Raw genomic sequence first — 19,457 nt, forward strand, 5'->3', positions numbered from 1 at the left:
GAAAGTGTTGGGATTATAGGTGTGAGCCAAGGCACCCATCCTCTATTTGTGGTTTATCTTAATTGCCTTGGGGATGAATTCTTGGGCTTTTGCAGCCATAACTAATATATCGCTGAGCAAATGTCTTCCACTGCTGGTCAGCTGCTCTCAGACAAAGTGAGCTCTGGGGTGGAGGACAGGGCCTTACCTGTCCTAGGTTCCACATGAGGTAAGGACTGTCTCCAGTCTGTCCATTCCACGTGCTGCCTTATTTAACTACAAGCCTTTGCAGAAGGTGTGTCTGCACCTCCTATTAGTCATGATTCATTATAACCCTTGCAGGAAGTGGGGACATGGCAGACAGAGACTGTATCGCCATCAAACCTTTCTTGGCTCAATCACTTCCTAAGAGTCAAGTTTCCTAACCTATAAAATGGCGCCACCAGGAACTTCATCTACCCCAGGCTCTTATGAGAACAAAATGAGAAAAAAAAGGCATGGTAGCACTTTGTAAACTGTAAAGCAAGATGTAACTACGTTACGAGTGCTGTTATTAAATTTCTTGTGTTTCTTAGGATTCCAAAGATTGGCTGAACTCCAGCTTCATTTTAACTTGCTGTAAAACCTTGGAGAAGGAAAATGACAAGGCTAGTGCCTGAGCTGCTAACTTTGAACACCTCTGTACCTGTTATTGTTCTAAGCACCGTATATGTATCAATTCACTTAAGCCTTGCAGCAGTCCTATGAAATAGATTTGTAATCTCCATTTTATAGATGAGGCACAGAGGGGTTAAAAAAAACTTGCCCATGGCTGGGCATGGTGGCTCATACCTGCAACCCTGGCACTTTGGGCAGTATAGTGAGACTCTACAAAAAAATGAAAAAAAAAAAAATTAGCTGGGCATGGTGGTGGGCCTGTAATCCCAGCTACTTGGGAGGCTATAGCAGGAAGATCACTTGAGCCCAGGAGTTCGAGGCTTCAGTGAGCTACGTTTGCGCCACTGTACTCCAGCCCGGGTGACAGAGTAAGACCCTGTCTCTAAAAATAAAAATAAAATAAAATAAAACTTGCCCATGTTAACATCACAAGGAAATGGCAGAGATGCGTTATAGACTCTAGTAGTTTGACTCTAGAGCCTACACTTTCAACCATTATCTTACAAATGACTTATCTTTATGAACCAAACATATACATTTGTGGTGTCATTTATTTTACTCTATCCTATCCATTTGTTAAATATTTGCTTTAAAAGTACGTAAATTGGCTGGGTGTGGTGGCTCACGCCTATAATCCCAGCACTTTGGGAGGCTGAGGTGGGTGGATCACCTGAGGTCAGGAGTTTGAGACCAGCCTGGCCAACATGGTGAAACCCCGTCTCAACTAAAAATAGAGAAAAATTAGCTGGGCATGGTGGCGCACACCTGTAGTTCCAAATACCTGGGAGGCTGAGGTGGGAGAATTGCTTGAAACCAGGAGGTGGAGGTTTCAGTGAGCTGAGATCACACCACTGCACCCCAGCCTGGGTGACAGAAAGGTTCTGTCTCAAAAAAAAAAAAAAAAAAAAGTAGGCCAGGTGTGGTGACTCATGCCTGTAATCCCAGCACTTTGGGAGGCCAAGGAGGGTGGATCAAGACCAGCCTGGCCCACATGGTGAAACCCCATCTTCACTAAAAATACAAAAATTAGCCAGGCATGGTGGCATGTACCTGTAGTCCCAGCTACTTGGGAGGCTGAGGCATGAGAATCACTTGAACCTGGGAGGCAGAGGTTGCAGTGAGCTGAGACCATGCCACTGCACTCCAACCTGGGCAACAGAGAGAGACTCTGTCTCAAAACAAAAAAAATTCCAAAAAGTATGTAAATCACGGGTGCTGTGAGCGGTGGCTCACAACTGCAGTCCAAGTGCTTTGGGAAGCAGAGGCGATTGCTTGAGCTCAGGAGTTCAAGAGCAGCTTGGGTAATGTCAGGTCTCTGAGCCCAAGCTAAGCCACCATATCCCCTGTGACCGGCACGTACACATCCAGATGGCCTTAACTGATGACATTCCTTCACAAAAGAAGTGAAAATGGCCTGTTCCTGCCTTAACTGATGACATTCCCTTGTGAAATTCCTTCTCCTTGCTCATCCTGGCTCAAAAGCTCCCCTGCTGATCACCTTGTGACCCCTGCCACCTGCCCGCCAGAGAACAATCCCCTTTGACTATAACTTTCCTTTACCTACCCAAATCCTATAAAACGGCCCCACTCCTATCTCCCTTCCATGACTCTCTTTTTGGACTCAGCCCGCCTGCAGCCAGGTGAAATAAACAACCTTGTTGCTCACACAAACCCTGTTTGGTGGTCTCTTCACACGGACACGAGTGACACGAGTGAAAGGTAACATGGATAGTGAGACCCTGTCTCTCCAAAAAATTTTTATAAAATAAAAAAACAAAAATTGAAAAAAAAGTATGTAAATCAAAACTTATTTAATTCAATGAAACTATAATACTGAAAACCGGGACAGGACAGCAGCCAGTTTCTTTCTCCTCCTTGATGAGAACCACCTCAGTTCCCAGAAAGGGAGGTTTGGTGAGATAACTGACTCAGATAAGAAAGCATCCAGTTTAGGGAGGAATGCCGGAGTACCCTCTGCCTAGGGCTAGAGAGAACTCTCAGGCTCTCCCATTCCCTCCCCAGCAACAAGCTGAGCAAATCAGTCGAAATCCATTTCTCTCTAAGGTCTCTGTCCATATCAAATAACGATCAAACTCATGAAAATTACTTCTAGCCACAAATCATCAATCATCATGTCCAGAAACCTATCCTGAATTCTCCCAACTCTCAAAGCTGGGTGTTACTCTATGTGCCCTGCAATAGCAGACAAGAGGCTGATGGCTCCATTACCAGGGAGTAGCTAAGCCAGAATCTGATTCCCAAGCCCCCTTGCTCATGTGCTCTCTCAGAATCCCTGCTGCTCCCTGCTGCCTGCCTGCCTGCCTGCCTGAAATGTCTCACACCCTTCTCTGCCTGAACTCTGCTGATTGATTATCTTTCCAATTTGAACCTCAGCTCTTCACAGCCTCTCCTGACACCTATGCTTCTGGGAACAAGTTGGTTGCTCCATCCTTTGTGATCCCCAAACACTCCTTTAGTAACTTTATGAAAGCACTCACACTGCAGTTTAGTTATTCATGTCTTCCCCAGCAGACAGCAAAGGTAAGCCCTGGGTTTATTCTTCCATGTACCTCTAGTACCTGGCACACAGCTTATCAAAAAATATTTACCTAATGAATGAATCTCCTTAGTCATCTAGTTCAACTTTTTCCTCTAAGGTTTATCCTTAGAATGTCTTTACTTGTTCCAGTTGAAGACTGATTCCCCCAGCTGGACTTTAGATGGCCTCTTGTTTAACGTCCTGGTACTGAGTTGAGCTTTCCCACATCTAAGGAGAGCCAGGCTGGTCTCTTGGGGTCTCCTCCAGGTCTCCCAACCTTAGTCTGTTTTCTTCACCCTCTGCTAACATCTGCCCACCATCCTGGTCACTATTTTTGGAATTCCTTTTGGTTTACCCTGTCCTTCCAAAAAATGTGGTGCCCCGCGTGAAGGCAACAAGGCAGCAGCAGTAAGGTTTTGAAGTCAATCAAGTATAAAAATTATCCTTAAAAATTCCAGGGGAAAGTGCCAGGTAGAATGCCTGAGTGATCCCAGGACAGCCAATCTCCCACTGCAATAGAATAGATAACTGTTTCTTTGCTAGAGGATCAGCTAGATAAACAGGACTTGCATTTAGGGTCCATGTTGCAGGGAAAAACATGTGTCTATAAATATCAGAACTCCATTTAAGAAGCACATGGGAATGAAATTAGACTGAGGAAATAGCAGATGATCATGATCACAAGGCATATACTTTGCGTGGGAATCATCCACACTATTGAAATCTTGTGTGTGTGTGTGTGTGTGTGTGTGTGTGTGTGTGTGTGTATGATGCAACTTTCTGTGTGGTCAGAGACAAGGAGAATGGAACTACCATCTTCCTCATTTCACGCATTTATGAGTTTACCCCATTTCCTGTGTAAATGTTCTTCTTCCCCCTACCTATTGACATCCTCCTTTATTTCTTTGTTGACTTTCAGAATTGAGTTGAACTTCAGAGGTTTTTCAACTTGGAGTTCAGGAACATCTGAAATTACATTAATGCTTGCAAGTACATTGGTATGTACATGGTTTTGAGCAGTCTCCTGGCTTTCTTACCTTTCGAAAGGAGGCTGAGATGCCAAAAGGTTAAGGACCATTGTCTTCAGTGTTTACCACATAAATTGCAAATAGGACATTGAGACTTTGTTAAGAGAAGTAGATTCACCTGTTTAACAAATAGTACACTCTGAAACAAAGAAATGCAGTTATAACCAGTGAAGTACTCTATTATCTTCCCTAAACAAAAGTACTGGGCGTGTAAAGAGCAAAACTGCCTACTCCACAGCAGATCACAGCAGACCTTCAAGGAGAAAGCTAAAAAGCCTCTTGAAAATTAACCCCCAGTTCCCCCTTTTCAAGAACTTGAATCTTGTGCTCATTCTGAAAGTTTCCACTGTGGTGGAGGAGCATAATAGGCACTTAAAGAAACTGGGTATTGTATTGGGATGAGGAGTGGAAAGGACTATAGAATTGTTTAACAGAACAACATGATAAAGACTTGGGTTGCATCAAAATCATCTCACAGAGATCAGGGCACGCTGATTCTGCAATCTGGGGAAGGGTGGCATCAAGACAGCCAATTCTGGAGCAGGTGAGAAGAGAATGTGGCCCAGGAGTGTTTCTGGATCCCTGGAATACCACCAGGAGGTAGAATACCATCCTTTCTATCTTGGCCCCAGAGTGTAGGTGACAATACCTTTGGACTGGCAAGTTCCCAGAGGACAAGAAAATGACTTCTTTAGAGCAAGGATTTCTTGACACCTTTTGGGACCCATCATGTTCCATTTTTTTTAAACACTAAAAGAAAGATTGCTTTCCCCGCCAAATAACAGCATGAACATTATCTTAAAAGGCAAAGACATTAATTTCTATGAAGCCAGGCACGAGACACTTTTGGGTGTCACAATAAGAATGACAATACGTTCTGATGTTGAGCACAGAAGGAGGGTGCATCAGTGAAAATTATGACAGACAGCATGACGGTGCTGAGAGGCAAGCTACGGATCCAAGCCCGCGACTGCTCAGCCAGGATCTCTGTTCCCTATGGGAGCAGTGAATCACCTGAACTTTGGGTCAATGGAAGAAGTAAAATGCATAACACCCTAATCCTAAGACACAAGTCCTGACCCCCTAAACCAAGGTTTTCAGCACTTTGCTAAAAACACGAACAAGCTCTAAGCCTGGCAAAGATGGCAATACATACCCAGGTTGTGGAAGACACTGCAGAGGTGGCCACTGGTCACGCTGGGCAGTTGAGCTGCTGAGAGTGCCCTGCCCAGCCAGAAATGGTCTTTAATACTCTTCCCCTCTTTCTTTCAGTTTCCCTTCTGAAAAAAGATGCTTTTGTCTTTCGTTCTCCCCACCCTGCATTCAGCTAAGGGTTTCTTATAAATCACCCAGATTCTCAGAAACACTTGAGCTCTTGACCAACCTTCTTGATGAGACTGTCCAATCAGGGGTGGGTTGCCTGGGGGGCCAGGTTGAGACCAATGAAACCCTCTTGAGAATCGAGCCATTAGCTGGTCATTGCATCAGCCACCCCTCACCCCCCGCTGGCCTCCAAATAACCTCCCCACCCTCTTCCCGTTCCCCACCCTCAGCGTCAGTGTGACTGATTTTGTGTAGTCGTGGGCGGTGGAAAGAGAAACTGTAAATTCCCCGCATCTGTTCACCGAGGCGGCACAGTGCAGTGGAAAGATCAGGAGTTCTGGGGTCACAGACGCCTGGGTTTCAATCCCAGCTTGGACTTATTCGAAACCTTGGGCAAGGGTCGCATTACTTTTCTGCTTCCCCTTCGGTTTCCTCATCTGTGGAATGGGCATGGAGAAGCCTGCTAACATTACCGTTGAGGGGACTAAGTGCAACACTACGCAAAGCCTCTGGCACATGGCAGGCGCTAAATAAAAATGGGGGCCTCTCTCCTCGGGAAAAGCGAACAGGCGGAGACGATGAAGGGTGCCAGTGGGAAAGGGAGACGGGGTGGGTCGGCGGCGCTCAGAGGAAAGGGGCGAGGGGTCGGTGGCAGGCTCCGCGCCTCACAGTGCCAGAACGCGGCGGGCAGCAAGCCGGGCTCTAAGGATACTCCCGGGAGGGCCAGGCCACTGGGCGCCGCGCCAGCGTCCCTCCATCACTCCCTCCCTTGTTTCCTCACTCCGCCCCGGCCTTACTCCCCTCGCTTACCCTGCCCAGCCGGGCCAGTCAGCGCTCCCGGCTCAGCAACCGGCTGTCTCCTGGGCGTCCGTGGAAACGCCGTCCGGACGGAACAACTTCCGGCCCGACGGCGCCGTCATTGGCTGTTCGCGCGGGGGCGGGGCAGAGGCCGCCACTGATTGGCTGGCGGCCGCGGCGTCGCGTCGGAACGTGACTGGATGGTAGTGTGCTGGCCGGTCTGCCTCCGGGAGAACCGAGCGCTTCCGGTGCGTGTGGTGAGCGGCGGGCCCCGGGCTGGAGGGGCCGGGACTGGGCAGCGCCTAAAGCGCCCCGTGCCGCTTAACGCGGTCTCTCATAGCCGCTCGCCTTCCTTTCACTTCCTGTTCCTTCAGAAAGCGCTGTGCCTTGGACCAACCTTACTTCTTACTATTGACAGCTCAGCTAACTCCTATTCATCCTTCAAAACCCATCTCTGGTCGTATCTTGTTTGTTGCTTTCATCGCTCTGGGGCCTCCGGGGGGATCTGTGTTTTGTGTTTGATTTCCACCCACACCAGACCCAGCATAGGGCTTGACAAAGAGTACGTAATCAGGAAATGTTTGTTGAATGGGAATATCCTATTTCTTTTACTTCCTAGCATCTCCCCCTCCCACCCGTTTGCATTCCAGAAATATTTTTAGACGCTGGGCATTGAATAGTGAACAAAACACAGAAAGTCCTGTCCTCATGGGGCTGACTTGCTGATAGTGACTGTCAGAGTCACTCGCTCCTTCCTTAGACTCTTCTCCAGTGTCCCTGCCTTCCCTTCCATCTTACTGTCTGTTCCTCTTCGTTTAATCCCTCATCTCCTTCCAGAGGGAGCACGGGCACCCTGGTGGTGGGAATCTGGGTGCATGGTGGGTGGTGCCTGGGCAGAGGAGTTGAGAGTGGCCTCGGGACCAGGCTTAGCATTTAGAGAACAGAAATGCCAAATTATTTGCAGTGCACGGTTCCATTAGTTTATAATTAGTCTTTCATATTATATTAGTTCCATTGGAGATGAGCTGGCTGGCTGGCTTTAGAAGTTGTTGTTGTTGTTGTTGTTTTTTGAGACCAAGTCTCGCTCTGTAGCCCAGGCTGGAGTGCAGTGGCGTGATCTCCACTCACCGCAACCTCCGCCTCCCGGGTTCAAGCAATTCTGCGGCCTCAGCCTCCAGAGTAGCTGGGATTACAGGCGCGCACCACTGCACACGGCTAAATTTTTTTTTTTTTTGTATTTTTAGTAGAGACGGGGTTTCACCATGTTGGCCAGGCTGGTCTTGAACCCCCGACCTCAGGTAATCCGCCCTTCTCGGCCTCCTACAGTGCTAGGATTACAGGCGTGAGCCACCGCGCCCGGTCGTTTTATTTAAACTCTGGCTTTGCGTGTGGAAGTTGTTACCTGCCTGGAATGGGCTGCGAACGGGGGCGGCATTACTAGAGGAGGCTGACTACAGACATTTATGGAATGATGACCTGACTTGTAGACCAGTGGAACCCTCAGGCGAATGATGCCACTTGGGGGAAAGGTGTGGAAGAGGTTGGGTGGTTGATTCCAGGGGACATAGAAACCCATTGTCTAGAAGAAGAGATGGGTAATAGGCTGTCTGGAATGACTTAGAAAAGGACTTGGAGGGAATCTGTTGATGCTGACCTGACTCCACCTGTTGGGGGATGGAGGCGGAGCTTGGCGTGTTTGATTAAGGTTGGGTGCACTGGGTTTTCTTGGAAGTCGGTCTATTGCCTGAGCGTTCTGTGCTGTTCCACCGCGCCCTCTGCTGTCCTAGGAGTGCCTAGCACCCTTCTTTTTCTCTGGATTGTGCTTGGTGCTAACAGCACAGAAGTAAAAAATTACCAAAGCACTTCTTTCTGGGAACTAATTGATAACCATGTATTGTGTATGATGGTTCAGAATTTCAGAAAGATTTTTTTTTTTTTTGAGACGAAGTTTCACTCTTGTCGCCCAGGCTGGGGTGCAATGGCGCGATCTTGGCTCACTGCAACCTCTGCCTCCTGGGTTTAAATGATTCTCCTGCCTCAGCCTCCCGAGTAGCTGGGATTACAGGCGTGTGCCACCACGCCCGGCTAATTTTTGTATTTTAGTAGAGACAGGGTTTCACCATGTTGGCCAGGCTGGTCTCGAACTCGACCTCAGGTGATCCGCCCACCTCGGCCTCCCAAAGTGCTGGGATTACAGGCATGAGCCACTATGCCCTGCCCAGAAAGATTTTTTTTAACAAGTAGAAATTCATTGCAGTGTGAATCTGTGTGTTGGGAGTGAAATGGGTGGATTTGGATCATGCCCTCAGAATTGCTCCCTGCACACTTGGGTAGACGGACACCTCAGGACCTTAGCCTTGTGCTGTGGGCCTGTCTGTCCAGCTGGCTGCTACAGAGATGGGATACCTGGGGGAAGAATGTTCCAGGCAGGCCGGGCGCGGTGGCTCACGCCTGTAATCCCAGCACTTTGGGAGGCCGAGGCGGGCGGATCACGAGGTCAGGAGATCGAGACCATCCCGGCTAAAACGGTGAAACCCCGTCTCTACTAAAAATACAAAAAATTAGCCGGGCGTAGTGGCGGGCGCCTGTAGTCCCAGCTACTTGGGAGGCTGAGGCAGGAGAATGGCGTGAACCCGGGAGGCGGAGCTTGCAGTGAGCCGAGATCCCGCCACTGCACTCCAGCCTGGGCGACAGAGCGAGACTCCGTCTCAAAAAAAAAAAAAAAAAAAAAAAAAAAAAAAAAAAAAAGAATGTTCCAGGCAGAGAGAAAAGAGGGAAGGGCTGGAGCACAGGGAAAGGGTGCAGGGGAAAGTGGCAGGCCTTTCCCACCATGGATCCTGGACGTCTTTTGATTTCAGTATTTTCAGACCTACCCTCGTTCATGATGATGAGCATATGTTCTCACTTGTTGCTAATAAGCAGTGCGGCAGGTTTTCTTTATACATTTATCTTCATGGATTTATACATCTAGCAAACATATGCTAGTATTTGTGTAGGATAAAGTTCTACAGTGGGGTTGCTGGGGTGAAAATGATGTGTTTAAACTTGTAACACATATGACCAAAATGGACCTTCCAAAGGCATTTTTAAAGTCCTGTCTCTTTCTCTGTAGGCATTGTCTCTTCAGGTCTTCTTTTTTTTTCTTTTTTTTTTTTTTTGAGATGGAGTCTTGCTCTGTCACTCAGGCTAGAGTGCAGTGGCATGATCTCAGCTCACTGCAACCTCCACCTCCCGGGTTCAAGCAATTCTTCTGTCTCAGCCTCTCAAGTAGCTGGGACTACAGGCGCCTGCCACCATGTCCGGCTAATTTTTGTATTTTTAGTAGAGACGGGGCTTTGCCATATTGGTCAGACTAGTCTTGAACTCCTGACCTCAGGTGATCCACCAACCTTGGCCTCCCAAAGTGCTGGGATTTCAGGTGTGAGCCATCACGCCCAGCCTAGGTCTTCTTTTATGTCCTTCAATAAAAGTTTTAGTTTTCTTTCCTTTTTTTTTTTTAATTTTACTTTTTTGAGACAGAGTCTCACTCTGTCACCCAGTCTGGAGTGCAGTGGCACAATCTCGGTTCACTGCAACTTCCGCCTCCTGGGTTCAAGTGATTCTCCTGCTTCAGCCTCCCGAGTAGCTGGGACTACAGGTGCGTGCCACCACGCCTGGCTAATTTTTGTATTTTTAGTAGAGATGGGGTTTCACTATGTTGGCCAGGCTGCTCTTGAGCTCCTGACCTTGTGATTCCCCCCGCCTTGGCCTCCCAAAGTGCTGGGATTACAGGCATGAACCACTGCACCCAGCGCTTTTTTCTTTTCTTTTCTCTTTTTGAGATGGAGTCTCCCTCTGGCACCCAGGCTGGAGTGCAGTGGTGCAATCTCAGGTCATTGCAACCTCCACCTCCTGGGTTCAAGAGATTCTCCTGCCTCAGCCTCCCAAGTAGCTGGGATTACAGTTGTGTGCCACCAGGCCTGGCTAATTTTTGTATTTTTACTTGAGATGGGGTGTCACTATGTTGGCCAGGCTGGTCTCGAACTCCTCACCTCAAGTGATCCGCCCACCTCAGCCTCCCAGAATGCTGGGATTACAGGTGTGAACCACTGCACCCAGACTTACTATAAGTCTTCATGTAGGTCTTGCTTATTTTTTACAGATTTACCCCCAGCTATTCCATAGTTTCAATTTCAAAAATTTTATCTTCTAACTAATTGGGCCTGATATGTAGAAAAGCCTTTTTTGTTTTTGTATTTATTCTTTTTCTTTCTTTTTTTTTTTTGAGTCAGAGTCTCGCTCTTGTTGACCAGGCTGGAGTGCAGTGGCACAATTTCTGCTCACTGCAACCTCCGCCTCCCAGGTTCAAGCGATCTCCTGCCTCAGCCTCCCGAGTAGCTGGGACTACAGGTGCCTGCCACCCTGCCTCGCTACTTTTTGTATTTTTAGTAGAGACGGGGTTTCACCATGTTGGCCAGGCTGGTCTCGAACTCCTGATCTCAGGTTATCCACCCACCTCGGCCTCCTGAAGTGCTGGGATTACAGGCGTGAGCCACCACGCCTGGCCTGTGTTTATTCTTATGAGTGTTGAGTTATTGGATTTCCTAGGTGACATGGTTTCTTATAACTACATACATATTCTTCCATGCACATTTTCTGACGGTTGACCTTGTTTGATCTTAGGTGGTTTGGCTTTGAATGACAGCAAGAACTCTGTCTTTAATGGCTTCATTGGTAGCGTATGATGATTCGGACTCGGAGGCTGAGACAGAGCATGCAGGAAGTTTTAATGCTACCGGCCAGCAGAAAGACACTTCTGGTGTGGCCAGACCACCTGGGCAGGATTTTGCATCTGGTACACTGGATGTGCCCAAAGCAGGGGCACAGCCCACAAAGCATGGCTCCTGTGAAGACCCAGGGGGCTATCGCCTTCCATTGGCTCAGCTTGGGAGAAGCGATTGGGGATCTTGCCCCAGCCAGAGGCTACAGTGGCCCGGGAAGGAGCCTCAAGTCACCTTCCCCATCAAAGAGCCTTCTTGTTCTTCTCTGTGGACGAGCCATGTTCCAGCCAGCCACATGCCCCTGGCAGCTGCCCGCTTTAAGCAAGTAAAACTCTCCAGGAACTTTCCCAAGTCATCTTTCCATGCTCAAAGTGAGTCTGAAACCGTAGGTAAAAATGGCAGCTCTTTTCAGAAGAAAAAATGTGAGGACTGTGTGGTACCCTATACTCCCAGAAGACTAAGACAGCGGCAGGCATTAAGCACGGAGACAGGCAAGGGTAAAGACGTGGAGCCACAGGGGCCCCCTGCAGGGCGTGCCCCAGCCCCTCTCTACGTGGGCCCGGGAGTGTCTGAGTTTATTCAGCCATATTTGAATAGCCATTATAAAGAAACCACAGTTCCCCGGAAAGTGCTTTTCCACCTGAGAGGCCACAGGGGCCCTGTCAACACCATTCAGTGGTGTCCAGTCCTTTCTAAGAGCCACATGCTTCTCTCCACTTCTATGGATAAAACTTTCAAGGTAAGACTTGAATGAAAACTTCTGCTTTCAGATGCTCTTAGGAATACACTGCTGGAATAATAGTGAAGTGGAGGGAGGTTACAGGCTGAACTTTTTTTTGTGTGCAGATTTCTGTAATTCCCTTTGTTGCATTCCAGAAAGGGTCATCTGTGGTCAGCTCCGGGTTGTGGGTTCCTTCTGCCCCAACCCTTCCCTGATGCTGCCTTGCTCAGGTTACCAGAGGATACTGTTTCTTATCCCTCTCGGAGGCCGTGAGGGAGGAGGTGAGAGTGATTAGTGGGAGAAGAAAAGCAGGCCCAGGACCAAGCCCTGGGGACTGGGGACATCCTCGGTGACCCTGTGGAGCATTGAGCCATGCCAGCTCTGTGCCTGGTGCTGTGCTGGTTTCAAGGGCTGTTGGGAGAGGTAGGTAGACCCAGCCCCTGGTGTCAGGGCTTGCACAGTGAGGCGGGAGCCGTGGACAAGTACACAGACTCAACCCTGAGCTGTGAGGACGGCCCCCAGTAGGACACACAGGTGCTCTGGGAGCCCAACGGGAGGGTTACCAGCCCAGCCCGGCAGGGCTCAGTGAAGGCCTCCTGAGGAAGGGGAAGGTTCGCTTGGGGATGGGGGCAGAAGGGCGTGCTTGGCTGCAGGAGCCCTGTGTATGTGTTGGCTCCAAGCATGAGGGCCTGGGAGCTGGCTTCAAGCATGTGTGGGTGAGGGACTTGAGGCTGGGGAAGCAAGGTCAGGGAAGGTTGCACGTGCCCTTCTGGGGACTTCTGGTTTTACATGGAAACTCTTTTTTGCATTGTCTTATTTATTTTACAGGCTACTGAAGTGATAGTAATGTAGTCCCCCAGTATGGAGGTACAGTGTGATAGGTCGTTGTGCCCACCTGGGACCTGTCTCCAGCCCTTCGAGCTGTGCACTGCATCCCTCCTCTCTCTCCTCGCAGCTAGCAAAGCACCTGATATGTAGCGGGTGCCAACTAAATGCTAGCTGAACAGAAAGCTCTTGGAAAGGAAATAACTTCAAGGGACCTGGCTTCACATCCAGCTTTGCTGCAGAGTAGCTAGCTGGTCGACCACTGGCCGGCTGCCTTCCTGTGGAGTCTAGTGTCTCATTTGTAAAAGGGCAAAATCATACCTGGGTCATGTGCTCATGTGAGAAAAATGCTGAAAAAGTGCCTTGCACAGAGCCAGGTACCTCATAGGCGCTCAGTAAATGGTGGTTCCCTTGCCCTTGTTTCCTCAGAGTTCTGGAACCAACTTTCCTACATCTTTTCTCTTGCAAATTACATTTTGAGCTTTTCTCCCTCGGAAACATTTTCTTAAGTGAAGAAAGGAAGCTCCAAGTATAGAGATGTCTTTGAAATGAGCTGAATTGATGGGTGGCATTTTTAAGTGGCGAACTGGAGTCCTGAAGTGGCTTGTCTGTGCTCTTTTCTAGCAAGACTCAGAGTCCTGTGGGAGAGAACGTCATATTCTCTCTTCAGCCTGGAGTTCCAGGATTTTCCACTTAGGTCTTTGGTGCTTTTCCTGCCATTCCGGGGGCTGTGAAGTGTGCGCGGAGGCTTCTGGCATCCCTGGCGTGGATCACAGCATGCTGGGATTGATCCTGTGGCCCCGGGGCTTCTCTGCTCTCCTTCCCAAGTCTGCGCTGCAAGGGCTGGAGGATGGGAAGCCCATCTGGAGGGTTGCTGGTGGGCCTGGGCAGTGTCTGACTGGCCCTGGAGTTCAAGTGGTGGCCCTTGTCCTCCCTGTGCTCACCTTCCTGTTGAGGCCTTCTTTTACCTGCCCGCTCACCTCTGGAGTTCTCTCTCCTGATGGTGAGGGGCAGACCTGGGGCCCTGTGGGACTGGCCTTCGCCTGGTGGCGTGAAGTGCTCCCTGGGCCCTGCTGGCAGAGTGGCAGCTTGGGTCACTTTTGCCTGGGAAATTTAGATTTCCTAAACAGAAGCATCCCCATGGTAGTTTTTGAGCAGAGAGCACCTGAGTAGAGGCATTGATTTCTGGCCTTGTGGAGTAGACAAATGTGCCAGGCACGGTGCCACTGGGGACGTGGGGGGAGAGACGTTTCTGCCCCCATGGAGGGGAAACTGTGAGCAGCCAACTAACTGTGACACCTCATGACCAGAAGAGGGCGCAGTGGGCCCAGCTTGGAATGGCAGTGAGGGTGGCTCAGACTGAGGGACTGTGGTAGGAATGCCCTGCTCCTGGGCGATTCAGAGACCTGGGTCCGGGTCTGTGGGGCTGCCCTGGGTGGGGCCAGGCGCCGCAGCTGTGCCCGCCTGTCCCGAGGAGACTGTGTGTGCTGCAGGTGATGACACTGGCATGGGCCCCTTGGGCTGCCAGGCAGCTTCTGGGGAGCCCCACCCACTGCACTGTGCACCCTGGGTTCCTTCCCAGGGCAGAGCACATTTGCTGTCATGAGGTTGGGCCAGGGTCAGCATGGCTGCTAGGGTTGGCATCTCCTGACCCTCTTTTTTTACTGTGGTGTCGTGAACATTAGGGCTTTTATAAGCCATAGATACAAATGGTGGGCCAGGGCCCTCTCTGTTTTAAGATATTTGTCAGTTTTCAGTGATGGGGTTATTTGGCAAATTGGTTTTGGGCAAATTGACTTTGAACAACTTTTCAGTGTGAAGAGTGTATGGCAGGGGCTGGAGGAGCCAGGATGGGAAGACAGATTGGGAACCGGCGGGGAGCCAGGCAGGAGCTGTGGCCAGAAGTCCCGGCTGAGGCCTCAGGCTTGCTGGGCCACCAGGTTTGTGCGTGGCCTGGCTGGGAGGCACATGGTGTTCTTTTCCCTCCTTGGTGTCAGAGGTGGGGCAGCATGGCAGATCTTGGGGACCTGGTGATCTGGGGAAGGCAGTGTGTGGGTGTGGGTGGTGGGTCTGGAGTGGGGATAGGGCCTCGGGCACAGGCAGGAGTCCTGGCTGGCTGCAGCCCAGTCCCTGGAGGAGAGGAAATGGTGGGTGCAGCATGGAATGAGCTCAAAGAGGCGGGTGCAGCAGTACACCCTTCCCAGGGTGCTTTCCCCCTGCCTTTTGGTTAAAATCTGCCAGTGTCTTCTGGGCCCCTGCTGGATCAGGAAGGAGGGAAGAGCTTGGGGGCTGGGTGACAAGACCTGCTTGGGTCCTTCCTCTACGGCCAGCCCCTTGGTTGCGTGGTCTCTGGCAAGTTACCTCACTTCTGAGCCTTCATTTGAGTATCTATAAAGTGGAGAGAATTAAACATGCCTCGCTGGGTTTTTGTGAAAAGTAAACGATATTAGTTGTGAATCACCAAGTGCAATGCCTGGCACATAGCAGGCACTTAGTGTGTGCTCGAGTTCCTGCTTTTCCCCAAGAATTTCCTCCTTTCCTTGACTTGTGCTCATGTCTTATTTTACGTAAGTAGCCATGGAAGCATATCAGCTTCACCTACTAGACTTTAAGCTTCCTGAGCCAGAACCCATTTTTATATTCCCCAGCATCTGGCACAAAATTGTGTACATGTTAAGTGATCGATAAAAATTAAAACAAATTTTTTGGATTTTATCGCAAGCCTTTGGGAAGGGATTGTCTTTTGAGTGGATAAATCATATTCGCCACTAGGGTGCACAGTAAGACTTAATATAAGCAGCTCATCCAAGCTTCTAGAATGTGGAAGAATCCTTGATTCAAGGTAACATTTACTGAAAAATGATTTCTTTCTGATCAGGAGAAAAACAACACAGTCCAACTTATTAATCTAAAGAACATGGAGTGCCAGTTCCTTCATATCCTTAAAACGTAGCTTCGGAATTCATACATTTCAACTGGACACATTACAGTGGAAAGATACTTATTTTAATATGTTCTAAATGTTCTGTGAGCTGTAAAATATGCTTTTATTAGTTTTGAAAAATTTACAGCTAGAGAAATTAAGTAAAATAAAACAATGACTCATAATTCTGCACCGCTGCTCTTTCCTGACGATCCCTTCCTCCCCTTGTCTGTGAACGTGCTTGTTTTTTTCATAGCTGTGATCCCAGCACGGATACCCTTTTATATACTCTTTTCATCTCCCAGTGAACTCTTTTGGCTTAACGTGTTTGAACACCCACTGCACGTAAAGGTAGAAATTCAGACTTTGATGCCTTTTTTTGAAGGAAAACATGTACGTGGCCTGCGTTAACCAAAAACACAACCAGCCGTTATTGAATGCTCCCATGTACAGAACCCTCTGCCAGGCACTGAGAGGGAGTCCCAAAGGAATAAGACCTTTGGGTGGGTGACAGAAGACCCACCAGGGACCTTCTGTACCTGTATGAAAACCTGCAGTTCTGAAACACAGAAGGTTTTTAAAGAAAATATATGAATTAGATGTTGTTTATTTGCTTTACAGAATAATTTGCTCTAGAAATTCTTTCAGTAACAAGCTTCCTTAAAATACTTTGAAAAAAAACCTTTTAATTTTTGACCATGAATGTAATAGATGCTTATTGTGAAAAACTTTAATGATGCAGGAAATATGAAGTATGAAGGAGAAACAGAAATCATTGATAACTCCCAACCCCAAGTCAGTGCCTCATTAACATGAGGGGCCTCCCTGGTCGGGGGCCCTACATTCCTATCTGTTTACATAATTGGGCTTATTGCATAGTATGTGCAGTTTTGAATTCTTCCTCTGCTGCCCAATCTTCTGTAACGTGTAAGGGGAATTTTTCTACCTTATTAAAAACTTTTCCCCAAATATATTTTTATAACTGTCTCAAGTTTCATACTTTGCTCCATCATTTCCATGTTGTTTCCTATAATTTCCTGCTTTTGTTTAAAAAATAATCAGTATTACAGTGAATATGGCTATACATAAATATTGTCTTTTTTTGCTGCCTTAATGCAGTTAAGATGGGCTTTGAGGCCAGGCGCGGTGGCTCATGCCTGTAATCCCAGCACTTTGGGAGGCCGAGGCAGGCGGATCACGAGGTCAGGAGATTGAGACCATCTTGGCTAACATGGTGAAACCCCGTCTCTACTAAAAATACAAAAAATTAGCCGGGCGCGGTGGTGGGCGGCTGTAGTCCCAGCTGCTCGGGAGGCTGAGGCAGGAGAATGGCATGAACCCAGGAGGCGGAGCTTGCAGTGAGCCCAGATCGCACCACTGCACTCCAGCCTGGGTGAAAGAGCGAGACTCCATCTCAGAAAAAAAAAGAAAAAGATGGGCTTTGATTTACACCCAGGCATTAGCTAAAGCCCTTGTGTGTGGTGAGAGTGGGACCTGATTAGATTGGCAAACCTTCAGTACCACTGTTGTACTCCTTGGCTCCCATGCCAAATCTTCTGCTTGGTAGCTGTGTGACTTTGGGAAAATCACTTAGCCTCTCTGATCCCCTAGTTCCTCACTGGTAAAATGGGGATAATTGGTAAATGGCCACCAATTAAGGTTGTTGCTGTAGAGCTGAAATGAGAAGATCCAGCCTAGTGCCTGACAAGGGAGAGGCTGAGGAAGCATGTTTCTGATTCCCCTGTACCTGTCTTGATTAGTTATAAAACAAAGTGTAGAAAAGACAAATCACCCAGAATCCTCCAACTTACTGTAACTCTTGTTTTTTGTGAATCTTTTCATTGTCTCTATGCACACGTTTTTAAAGCGTTTCAATCTCAGTGTTCTTGAGATAAATACTTTTAGAATCTAAAGAGTTTGAGGATTGTCTGTGCCAAGCCATTCATGCACTCCCTTTTCATGTACTGAACACTTGGCAGGTCTGTGTTGGAGAGCTGGTTCCCTGTCCCCAAAGTGGTCACATTTAAAGCATGGATGAGAGGATGGAGAGCGCTAGCCATTGCTGAGTGCTTACCATGTACTAGGCATGTTCTAAACGCTCCGTCTCCTCTTCATTACAGGCCTGAGAGGCCACTTCTGTCCTCATTCCCATTTTACAGATGAGGAAATTGAGGCACAGAGAGGTCAAGAGACTTGTCCGTGGTCACACAGCTAGTAAATGATAGAGGCAAGCAGGGAAGCTTCAGACTCAGAGCCTGAGCAGAAAGAGCTACCACCACTCACGCTGCCCTCCTGCCTCTGAGAATAAGGGATGGAAAAGCGCATCCCCTTCACCCAGGTGGTGTCCAAGCTCTATCCCAGCTTCCAAATTTTGTGGTTCTGTTAAGGGACATACAGAGAAGAGATGATTTCTGGGGTGGTTTGGATTTGCATTTTTATGTATCACAGGATCCTGTTGATTTATCATTGTTAGTGAATCTGATTACATTAAGATATCTTAGATGTGCTTTGTAGAAAGTGATCTATTTCACATTCAAAGACAAGGGATTTATGGCTCTAAGTGCCAGAGTGAGGGTTTATTTCAGTTTTGAAAGAATTATTCTTGATGGATTTTACAAAATGAGATTGAGAAATGATTTGATGTGTGGAGTGAGGAGTTGTGGAGCATTATGCAGATGATTGGCAATTTATTCTAAGCACGAGGCAAATCTATTGGCAATGAGAGGCGCAGCTGGGAAGGAGGTTTGGGTGGTGGTAGTGGGCCTTTGGTATTTGGGGAGTGAATGATTAACAGTGCATCCAGGGTAATTAGATGAAGGTGAGGAGAGAATTGGTGATGTGTGTGTGCGCATGTGCGTGCATGCATAGCGTTCATCTGGTTCATTTGATAGAGGCCCATAGAGGGGAAGACACGCCCGAGGACACACAATAGGTGTTTGGATGCTTCCTAGTCTGGACACTATATTTGCTTCTCTTCTTTCCCACCTTCCAGAGGACTTTCAGAATCATCTGAATTACCCCAGGATTGGGAGTGTGGGGCTTTAGACTGGTTGGCAGCAGAGCTGCCGAGCCTCTGGGAAGAGCCATGAGATTCTGAGCTGGAATCTTCTCTTCGTGGGAAGTGAAGTTTTTTTGACACTCCTCCTCCCCCATGTGAAAGCCGCGACATTTCTGAGGCCAACAAATGAGACATTTCCCAGTTCCAGTTGCCTTACAATCTTGTATCTTACAGAAAAAACCTTGGGTTGAAGAGGAATAAGAAAAGGAAAGTGTAGCAGAACCCAAGCTGTGTTTTCTGCTTTTTAATAACTTCATTCCATTTAACTTAAACAGTTCAGTGTACCAAGGGCGGGGCCTTGTGCTCGCCAGAAGCTGACAGGAAGAAAACAGCCGTGTGAAGGTGCAGCCTCTGTCCTCGAGAAGCAAGCCTCATTCACTCTCATCCCATGTCATTAAGGGAAGGATAGAGCAATTTGGAAAAATGCTTTTAATGTAATTGAAAAATGCAGATTGCAAAATTGGCGCACTTAGGAGTCGAGACAGTCTAGTAAATTATTTCTTGTTGCTTTTAAAACTCGGAGACAGTAGACTCTTAAAGGTGCTTGTCTAATGCCCAGTGATGGCCTGTGTCCAAATGAGTTGTTTTAGATTTAATTTGTTTTATCATAAAAGTGGTAAAATTTTGGGAAAAAATGCAAGAAAATGGCAGAAATTAAAAGATAAACCATAGACCCTTCATTCAAGCCTAATGACCATGAACATTTTGCAAGCAGCGTTTCCTTCTAGTCTTTTTTCCCTACATATATCAACTAGTTTTAATCATATGGTAGGTACTTTGTTTTTGTAGCCTGCATTTAAAATCATAGGGTGGTCATTTCTCCCCCAGATTGTTAGTATTATTTCC

At 48.0% G+C, this 19,457-nt stretch overlaps 2 protein-coding genes across 22 annotated transcripts in view, besides 7 other annotated features; one reads left to right on the forward strand and one right to left on the reverse strand.

Moving 5' to 3' along the window:
* The window catches only part of WARS1 (tryptophanyl-tRNA synthetase 1), a 42,538-nt gene extending 36,134 nt beyond the window's left edge, over positions 1-6,404 (reverse strand). For 2 of the 16 annotated variants that reach the window (XM_047431765.1, XM_047431764.1), the window contains exons 1-2: positions 6,239-6,404; positions 4,213-4,226 (exon numbers count right to left, since the gene is read on the reverse strand). In XM_047431765.1, coding sequence (XP_047287721.1) covers positions 4,213-4,226; positions 6,239-6,284 — 60 coding nt within the window. In that variant the 5' untranslated portion in view covers positions 6,285-6,404. Of the gene's footprint in view, positions 1-4,056; positions 4,142-4,212; positions 4,343-5,359; positions 5,484-5,587; positions 5,624-6,238 lie in introns of those variants that run through there. The other 14 variants (XM_011537136.4, XM_047431760.1, NM_213645.2 and 11 more) reach the window with 11 other exon arrangements.
* Positions 1,337-2,253: an enhancer, noted in NCBI's record as "OCT4-NANOG-H3K27ac-H3K4me1 hESC enhancer chr14:100837597-100838513 (GRCh37/hg19 assembly coordinates)". NCBI's record gives its function as "activates a minimal SCP1, AML or CMV promoter by ChIP-STARR-seq in naive H9 embryonic stem cells {active_cell/tissue: H9 hESC(naive)}" and the evidence as "EXISTENCE:reporter gene assay evidence [ECO:0000049][PMID:30033119]".
* Positions 5,376-5,515: an enhancer, noted in NCBI's record as "active region_9039". NCBI's record gives its function as "activates an Ori minimal core promoter by ATAC-STARR-seq in GM12878 lymphoblastoid cells {active_cell/tissue: GM12878}" and the evidence as "EXISTENCE:reporter gene assay evidence [ECO:0000049][PMID:35858748]".
* Positions 5,526-5,885: an enhancer, noted in NCBI's record as "active region_9040". NCBI's record gives its function as "activates an Ori minimal core promoter by ATAC-STARR-seq in GM12878 lymphoblastoid cells {active_cell/tissue: GM12878}" and the evidence as "EXISTENCE:reporter gene assay evidence [ECO:0000049][PMID:35858748]".
* Positions 6,396-6,455: a silencer, noted in NCBI's record as "silent region_6090". NCBI's record gives its function as "represses an Ori minimal core promoter by ATAC-STARR-seq in GM12878 lymphoblastoid cells {active_cell/tissue: GM12878}" and the evidence as "EXISTENCE:reporter gene assay evidence [ECO:0000049][PMID:35858748]".
* The window catches only part of WDR25 (WD repeat domain 25), a 153,819-nt gene continuing 140,923 nt past the window's right edge, over positions 6,562-19,457 (forward strand). Inside the window, exons 1-2 of one of the 6 annotated variants that reach the window (NM_001350947.2) lie at positions 6,562-6,886; positions 10,987-11,823. In NM_001350947.2, the coding sequence (NP_001337876.1) occupies positions 11,002-11,823 (822 nt within the window). In that variant the 5' untranslated portion in view covers positions 6,562-6,886; positions 10,987-11,001. The remainder of the gene's footprint in view (positions 6,887-10,986; positions 11,824-19,457) is intronic. The other 5 variants (NM_024515.6, NM_001350948.2, NM_001161476.3 and 2 more) reach the window with 5 other exon arrangements.
* Positions 6,646-6,695: a silencer, noted in NCBI's record as "silent region_6091". NCBI's record gives its function as "represses an Ori minimal core promoter by ATAC-STARR-seq in GM12878 lymphoblastoid cells {active_cell/tissue: GM12878}" and the evidence as "EXISTENCE:reporter gene assay evidence [ECO:0000049][PMID:35858748]".
* Positions 11,881-12,841: an enhancer, noted in NCBI's record as "H3K4me1 hESC enhancer chr14:100848141-100849101 (GRCh37/hg19 assembly coordinates)". NCBI's record gives its function as "activates a minimal SCP1, AML or CMV promoter by ChIP-STARR-seq in naive H9 embryonic stem cells {active_cell/tissue: H9 hESC(naive)}" and the evidence as "EXISTENCE:reporter gene assay evidence [ECO:0000049][PMID:30033119]".
* Positions 13,068-13,577: an enhancer, noted in NCBI's record as "H3K4me1 hESC enhancer chr14:100849328-100849837 (GRCh37/hg19 assembly coordinates)". NCBI's record gives its function as "activates a minimal SCP1, AML or CMV promoter by ChIP-STARR-seq in primed H9 embryonic stem cells {active_cell/tissue: H9 hESC(primed)}" and the evidence as "EXISTENCE:reporter gene assay evidence [ECO:0000049][PMID:30033119]".

The sequence above is a fragment of the Homo sapiens genome, chromosome 14 (genome assembly GCF_000001405.40).
Source record: "Homo sapiens chromosome 14, GRCh38.p14 Primary Assembly".
NCBI classification, from domain to species: domain Eukaryota; kingdom Metazoa; phylum Chordata; class Mammalia; order Primates; family Hominidae; genus Homo; species Homo sapiens.